The sequence below is a fragment of the Homo sapiens genome, chromosome 4 (assembly GCF_000001405.40).
Source record: "Homo sapiens chromosome 4, GRCh38.p14 Primary Assembly".
Classification (NCBI taxonomy): domain Eukaryota; kingdom Metazoa; phylum Chordata; class Mammalia; order Primates; family Hominidae; genus Homo; species Homo sapiens.
Genome location: NC_000004.12, coordinates 145961357 through 145970477, shown reverse-complemented (window position 1 = coordinate 145970477; position 9121 = coordinate 145961357).

Below are 9121 nucleotides of genomic sequence, written 5' to 3'. Positions count from 1 at the left end.
GCCAGGCACAGTGGCTCATGCCTGTAATACCAGCACTTTGGGAGGCCAAGACAGGTGGATCCCTTGGGCCTAAGAGTTTGAGACTAGCCTGGGCAACATGGCAAGACCCCATATTTACAAAAAAATACAAAAATTAACTGGATGTAGTAGCCTGTGCCTGTGGTCCCAGCTACTTTGTAGGCTGAGGTGGAAGGATTGCTTGAGCCCATGAGGTCAAGACTGCAGTGAGCCATGATTGCACCACTGCCCTCTAGCCTGGGCAACAGAATGAGACCCTGTCTCAAAAAATAAAATAAATAAAATAAAATAAAATAAAATGGGAACCAAATTCCTCAGGGAAACATACATTATTTTATGTAAGTCTCTGTGAAGAAATATCTATAGGACTCATGCAATTTGCCTGGAGCCAGATGTACTGGGAATTAGCTAGTCTTGAGGTCCTTGGACTATGTTACTGCACTCCGGCATGAGCAATAGAGCAGGACCCTGTCACAAAATAAATAAATTAATTAATGAATTAAATGTCTGACTACATATCAAAGAACTCTCCCAATAGATATTTAAAAATTCTAAGTGGTAAGAAAGTATTGTACTATTGTTTAATTGGCATCACTATTTTCCTTAGCAGTACATAAAGTAATGATATATTTTGTAATCAATATCATCTCTTTTTTTTACCATTTTAACCATTTTTTTCTTTGTCATCTGTACTCTTGGTATTTTTATAATATTTAGTTCTGGTAAAATATACATAACATAAAATTTGGCATCTTAATCATTCATTTTTAAGTGTTGTTAATTGGCTTTATGTGCATTCATGTTGTTGTGCAACTCTTCCCACTTTGATCTCCAGAACTTTTTCATCTTCCCAAACTAAAACTCTATATTCATTAAACAATCATTGCTTTTTACCCTCTCTTCATGTCCCCTAGAATGACCATTCTACTTTCTATCTATGTGAATTTGACTACTCTAAGCACTTCATATAATTGGAATCATACAATATTTGTCATTTTGTCTGATATTTCACTTAGCATAATGTCTTTAAGATTCATCCATGATGTGCAGTATGTCAGAATTTCCTTTCTTTTTAAGGCTGAATAATATTTCATTATTAAATATTAATACATTATTATTAAAATGTGGTATGTGTATGGCTTCTTTGTATGGCTTTATCCTTCATCTATTGATGGACACTTGTGTTGCATCCACCTCCTGGCTATTGTGAATTGTGCTGTCGTGAACCTGGGTGTACAGATATCTGTTTGAGTTCCTGCTTTCAATTATTTTGAGTATATATTCAAAAGTGAAATTGCTAGATTATATTATCATAGACAGAGTGAAATTCAGTACTAAAGAATAAGCTATTTCATAGGGTTGTGAGTTAACACTTAAAGCATTTAATACACTGTATAGTAACTTTTCTTTAAATGTTAGTTACTTTTGTTATTAAAGAACTAGAAATTTTTTCTGAATCTTAGAAGAGAGGTAAGGGATACAGACAAGAAAAACAACTTGGGAGTCATCAACTCATACATGGTAGTGGAAGCCAATGGAATAGATGAGATCACTCAAGGAGAGAATGTAGAGTGAGAAGAGAAGTGAATCATGTTCAAAACCACGAGCATATTAAGAAATAGAAGAGATTGTATTAGTGAAGAAGACTGAGAAAAGAGCCTTGCAAGGTACAAAATAAGAGGACAAGAGCTGAATGGATAGGAGGTTTTAGTCCGAGAAGAAAACAGTAGAGTTTCAGAGGTGGGGTGATTGTGGATGATAACAAAGTCCAGGGTGTATAAGTTTGGGGAGATAGAGACCAAGAACACTAACCTACAATAAATTTAAGAAACTGCAAGATAAGGTGCACATAGAAATTGAAGTAACCCAGGCTGATGGGAGGAATTGGGATGCAGAGGAACATAGCAAAGAGGAATTCCAATTTCTTTACAAAAGCAAGAGAGTTACTTGAAGATTGGAAGATTGCAGCAAATAATAATGGAAAGAGGAGGCAGCATAACATTGTTATAAATTTATGAATCTTAAAATCCTTATGAAAGTGTGCAAAATACAGTAGACTAAATGCACTACAGTAAAAAAAACTTCGTCTAACTTTCTGATAGCATTCATTTTGAAAACAAATGAGTTTCCCTCACAATGCAATCTTGATAGAGAATCATGAGTTAAACTGAATAGACTTATCCAAATATCTGGGTTTGGATGTTTCAAAACTCCATATAATTAATGTCTGGAACTATTTCCTGTGTAAAAGTGGAATTTAACAAATATCCTGGCAGCTCAACAAAAGCTATTGCTATTAGAAATACCTAGCTGGGTGCCACAAAACTGCTGTAGCCAGACTGCCTCTCTAGATTCTGCCTCTCTGGGCAGGGCATCTCTGAAAGAAATGCAGCAGCCCCAGTCAGGGGCTTATAGATAAAACTCCCATCTCCCTGGGACAGAGCATCTGGGGGAAGGGGTGGCTGTGGGTGCAGCTTCAGCCAACTTAAACGTTCTTGCCTGCTGGCTCTGAAAAGACCAGCAGATCTCCCAGCATAGAGCTCTGCTAATGGACAGACTGCCTCCTCAAGTGGGTCCTTGACGCCCGTGCCTCCTGACAGGGAGACACCTCCCAGCAGGGGTCAACAGACATCTCATACAGGAGAGCTCCAGCTGGCATCTGGCAGGTGTACCTCTGGGATGAAGCTTTCAGAGGAAGGAGCAGGCAGCAACCTTTGCTGTTCTGCAGTCTCCGCTGGTGATACACAGACAAACAGGGTCTGGAGTGGACCTCCAGCAAACTCCAGCAGACCTGCAGCAGAGGGGCCTGTTAGAAGGAAAAGTAACAAACAGAAAGCAATACCATCAACATCAACAAAAAGGATGACCATGCAAAAACTTCATCCGTAGGTCACCAACAGCAAAGACCAAAGGTAAATAAATCCACAAAGATGAGGAAAAACAGGCGCAAAAAGGCTGAAAATTCCAAAAACCAGAATGCCTCTTCTCCTCCAAAGGATCACAACTCCTCATCAGCAAGGGAACAAAACTGGATGGAGAATGAGTTTGACAAATTGACAGAAGTAGGATTCAGAAGGTGGATAATAAACTCCTCCAAGCTAGTGGAGGATGTTCTAACCCAATGCAAGGAAGCTAAGAACTTTGATAAAAGGTTAGAGGAATTGCTAACTACAATAACCAGTCTGGAGAAGAGCATAAAGGACCTAATGGAACTGAAAAACACAGCTAGAGAACTTCATGAAGCATACACAAGTATCAATAGCTGAATCCATCAAGTGGAAGAAAGGATATCAGAGATTGAACATCAACTAAATGAAATAAAGCATGAAGACAAGGGTAGAGAAAAAAGAATGCAAAGAAACCAACAAAGCCTCCAAGAAATATGGGACTATGAGAAAAGACCAAATTGGTGTACCTGAAAGTGATGGGAAGAATGGAACCAAGTTGGAAAACACACTTCAGGATATTATCCAGGAGAACTTCCCCAACCAAGCAAGACAGGCCAGCATTCAAATTCAGGAAATACAGAGAACATCACAACGATACTCCTTGAGAAGAGCAACCCCAAGACACATAATCATCGGATTCACCAAGGATGAAATGAAGGAAAAAATGTTAAGGGCAGCCAGAGAGAAAGGTCGGGTTACTCACAAAGGGAAGCCCATTAGACTAACAGAAGATCTGTCTGCAGAAACCCTACAAGCCAGAAGAGAGTGGGGGCCAATGTTCAATATTATTAATGAGAATGATTTTCAACCCAGAATTTCATATCCAGTCAAACTAAGCTTCTTAAGTGAAGGAGAAATAAAATCCTTTACAGACAAGCAAGTGGTGAGGGATTTTGTCACTACCAGGCCTGCCTTACAAGAGCTCCTGAAGGAAGCACTCAATACGGAAAGGAAAAACTGATACCAGCCACTGCAAAAACAAACCAAAATGTAAACACCATTGACACTATGAAGAAACTGCATCAACTAATGGGCAAAATAACCAGCTAGCATCATAATGACACGATGAAATTCACACATAACAATATTAATCTTAAATGTAAATGGGCTAAATGCCCCAATTAAAAGGCACAGACTGGCAAATATGATAAACAGTCAAGACCCATCAGAGTGCTGTATTCAGGAGATCCATCTCACATGCAAAGCCACACATAGGCTTAAAATAAAGGGATGGAGGAATATTTGCCAAGCAAATGGAAAGCAAAAAGAAAAAGCAGGGGTTGTAATCCTAGTCTCTGATAAAACAGACTTTAAACCAATAACGATCAAAAAAGACAAAGAAGGGTGTTACATAATGGTAAAGGAATCAATGCAACAAGAAGAGCTAACTCTCCTAAATATATATGCACCCAATACAGGACCACCCAGATTAATAGAGCAAGTTCTTAGAGACCTTCAAAGAGACTTAGATTCCCACACAATAATAATGGGAGACTTTAACACCCCACTATCATTAGACAGATCAACAAGACAGAAAATTAACAAGGATATTTAGGACTTGAACTCAGCTCTGGACCAAGCAGATCTAATAGGCATCTGCGCAACTCCCACCCGAAATCAACAGAATATACATTCTTCTCAGCACCACATTGCACTTATTCTAAAATCGACCACATAATTGGAAGTGAAACACTCCTCAGCAAATGCAAAAGAATGGAAATCATAACAAATTGTCTCTCAGACCACAGTGCAAACAAATTAGAACTCAGGATGAAGAAACTCACTTAAAACTGCACAACTACATGGAAACTGAACAACCTGCTCCTGAATGACTACTGGGTAAATAATAAAATTAAGGCAGAAATAAATAAGTTATTTGAGACTGATGAGAACAAAGACACAATGTACTAGAATCTCTGGGACACAGCTAAAGCAGTGTTCAGAGAGAAATTTATAGCACTAAATTCCCACAGGAGAAAGCAGGAAAGATCTAAAGTCAATACCCTAACATCACAATAAAAAGAACTAGAGAAGCAAGAGCAAACAAATTCAAAAGCTAGAAGAAGACAAGAAATTACTAAGATCAGAGCAGAACTGAAGGAGATAGAAACATAAAAAACCCTTCAAAAATTCAATGAATCCAGGAGCTGTCTTTTTGAAATGATTAACAAAATAGGTAGATCACTAGCCAGACTAATAAAGAAGAAAAGAAAGGAGAATCAAATAGACACAATAAAAACCGATAAAGGGGAGATCACCACTGATCCCACAGAAATACAAACTACCATCAGAGAATGCTATGAACACCTCTATGCAAATAAACTAGAAAATCTAGAAGAAATGGATACATTCCTGAACACACACACCCTCCCAAGACTAAGCCAGGAAGAAGTCGAATCCCTGAATAGACCAATAACAAGTTCTGAAATTGAGGTAGTAATTAATAGCCTACCACCAAAAAAAGCCCAGGACCAGATGGATTCACAGCCGAACTCTATCAGAGATACAAAGAGGAACTGGTACCATTCCTTTTGAAACTCTGCCAAACAACAGATAAAGAGGGACTCCTCCCTAACTCATTTTATGAGGCCAACATGATCCTGATACCAAAACCTGGCAGAGACACAATAAAAAAAGAAAATTTCAGGCCAATATCCGTGATGAACATTGATGTGAAAATCCTCAATAAAATACTGACAGACTGAATTCACCAGAACATCAAAAAGCTTATCCACCACAATCAAGTCAGCTTCATCCCTGGAATGTAAGGCTGGTTCAACATATGCAAATCAATAAATGTAATCCATCACATAAACAGAACCAATGACAAAAACCACATGATTATTTCAACAGATGCAGAAAAGGCCTTCGATAAAATTCAACAGCCCTTCATGCTAAAAGCAGTCAATAAACTAGGTATTGATGGAACATATCTCAAAATAATAAAAGCTATTTATGACAAACCCACAGTCAATATCATACTGAATGGGCAAAAGCTGGAAGCATTCCCTTTGAAAACTGGCACAAGACAACGATGCCCTCTCTCACAACTCCTATTCAACATAGTATTGGAAGTTCTGGCCAGGGCAATCAGGCAAGAGAAAGAAATAAAGGGTATTCAAATAGGAATAGAGGAAGTCAAATTATGTCTGTTTGCAGATGACATGATTGTATATTTAGAAAACCCCATCGTCTCAGCCCCAAAACTCCTTAAGCTGATAAGCAACTTCAGCAAAGTCTCAGGATACAAAATCAATGTGCAAAAATCACAAACATTCCTATACAACAATAATAGACAAACACAGAGCCAAATCATGAGCAAACTCCCATTCACAATTGCTACAAAGAGAATAAAATACCTAGGAATCCCACTTACAAGGGATGTGAAGGACCTTTTCAAGGAGAACTACAAACCACTGCTCAAGGAAATAAGAGAGGACACAAACAGATGGAAAAACATTCCATGCTCATGGAAGGGAAAAATCAATATCATGAAAATGGCCATACTGCCCAAAGTAATTTATAGATTCAATGCTATTCCCATCAAGCTACCATTGACTTTCTTCACAGAATTAGAAAAAAAAAACTACTTTAAATTTCATATGGAACCAAAAAAGAGCCCGTATAGCCAAGACAATCCTAAGCAAAAAGAAAAAAGCTGGAGGCATCACACTTCCTGACTTCAAACTATATTACAAGGCTACAGTAACCAAAACAGTATGACACTGGTACCAAAACAGATTTATAGACCAATGGAATAGAACAGAGTCCTCAGAAATAACACCAGACATCTACAACCATCTGATCTTTGACAAACCTGACAAAAACAAGCAATGGGGAAAGGATTCCCTACTTAATAAATGGTGTTGAGGAAACTGGCTAGCCATAGGCAGAAAACTGAAACTGGTCCCCTTTGCTACCACTTACATGAAAATCAACTGAAGATGGATTAAAAATATAAACTTAAGACCTAAAACCATAAAAAATACTAGAAGAAAACCTAGGCAATACCCTTCAGGACATAAGCATGAGCAAAGACTTCATGACTAAAACACCAAAAGCAATGGAAACAAAAGCCAAAATGGACAAATGGGATCTAATTAAACTAAAGAGCTTCTGCACAGCAAAAGAAACTATCATCAGAATGAACAGGCAACCTACAGAATGGGAGAAAATTTTTGCAATCTATCTATCTGACAAAGGGCTAATATCCAGAATCAAAAAGGAACTTAAACAAATTTACAAGAAATAAACAACCCCATCAAAAAGAGGACAAAGGATATGAACAGACACTTTCCAAAAGAAGACATTTATGCAGCCAACAAACATATGAAAAAAGCTCATCATCACTGGTCATTAGAGAAATGCAAATCAAAACCACAATGAGATACCATCTCATGCCAGTTAGAATGACAATTATTAAAAAGTCAGGAAACAACAGATGCTGGAGAGGATGTGGAGAAATAGGGATGTTTTTACACTGTTGGTGGGAGTGTAAATTAGTTCAACCATTGTGGAAGACAGTGTGGCGATTTCTCAAGGATCTAGAACCAGAAATACCATTTGACGCAGCAATCCCATTACTGGGTATATACCCAAATGATTATAAATCATTCTACTATAAAGACACATGCACACATATGTTTACTGCAGCACTATTCACAATAGCAAAGACTTGGAACCAACCCAATTGCCCACCAATGTTAGACTGGATAAAGAAAATGTGGCACATATACACCATGGAATACTATGCAGCCATAAAAAAGAATGAGTTCGTGTCCTTTGCAGGGACATGGATGAAGCTGGAAACCATCATTCTCAACAAACTAACACAGGAACAGAAAACCAGACACCACATATTCTCACTCATAAGTGGGAGTTGAACAATGAGAACATATGGGCACAAGGAGGGGAACATCACACACCAGGACCTGTTGGGGCTTGGGGAGCAAGGGGAGGGATAGCATAGGAGAAATACCTAATGTAGATGAGGGGTTGATGGGTGCAGCAAACCACCATGACACGTGTATACTTATGTAACAAACCTGCACATTCTGCATGTGTATCCCAGAACTTAAAGTATAATAATAAAAAAAGAAATACCTAGTTGAATGAAGATACATTTGCATATTAAATAATGTCAGATAGTGGCTTATTGACTTGATGGTTGATGTTGAAACCCATAGGAAAGAAGATAAAAGAAGATAAAAATAGCCTTTGAAAGTCTAAAACAATTCTATACTTATACAATATACTCTTGTCTCTATGCAAAGTCAAATCACTGTAGGCTAGTAAGGAGGTAACAACTTAGTTGAGCATGCCATAAATTAACTCCAAACAGCAAAGCCAAAAAGCCAAACTCAAACTTTAAAAATGATCTCTTGGCTCAGACTTCAATAAACAGAGAAATGGCAACGGGTTAATCCTTCACTTGTAGTGGGCCAAAGATAGAGATGTGGCCCTGATTGTTCCCAGAAGCATACAAAAAAGCATGCTTGTGTGAAGGTATTCATAATAAATAAGTAGTGAGGGCATGTTCATGAGGAAGGGGACAAATTAAATTACAGCATGAAGATCAAAGCAATAATTTAAAGAAATCTATTATTTTTGAGAATAATCACAACCACTCAAAGCATACTAAGATTTGGGGCATGTGGGTTAAACAGCTGTTGAACCTAAATCCTCCTCTTCATAGTTAAAGCACTAGCTACGAAACAGGCTACAAGGCAGGTGACCTTCGGGAGGTTCTATTATGTGTCCTTGACATTCAGGGAAAGATGGCCAAAAGGAAGATTTTGCCTCTCCACAAAGAAATTTGCACAGGAAACAAAGCTGAAAAAGATACATTGTAGTAAATGAATATTGAAGAAGAGCTATTAGTGCCACATATTTTAAGCATTATAGGAAGAATCTTAGGGTGGAGTTTTTTTTCCACTACAAGAAAAAAGGAGCCACTTAAAAAAAATTCATTATTGGCCACATGGAAATGAAAACACTTTTACTATTAATTCCTTTTTTGGAAGAAAAAGGAAGACAAAGCATTCAACTCTCAAGCTTTTAAGGTAATACTCAATTCAGTAAATACAAGTAATAAGGGCAATATTTTAAAACTGGCTGCATTATGGCTAGTTATGAGGGAAAAATGAGAAGAGAAA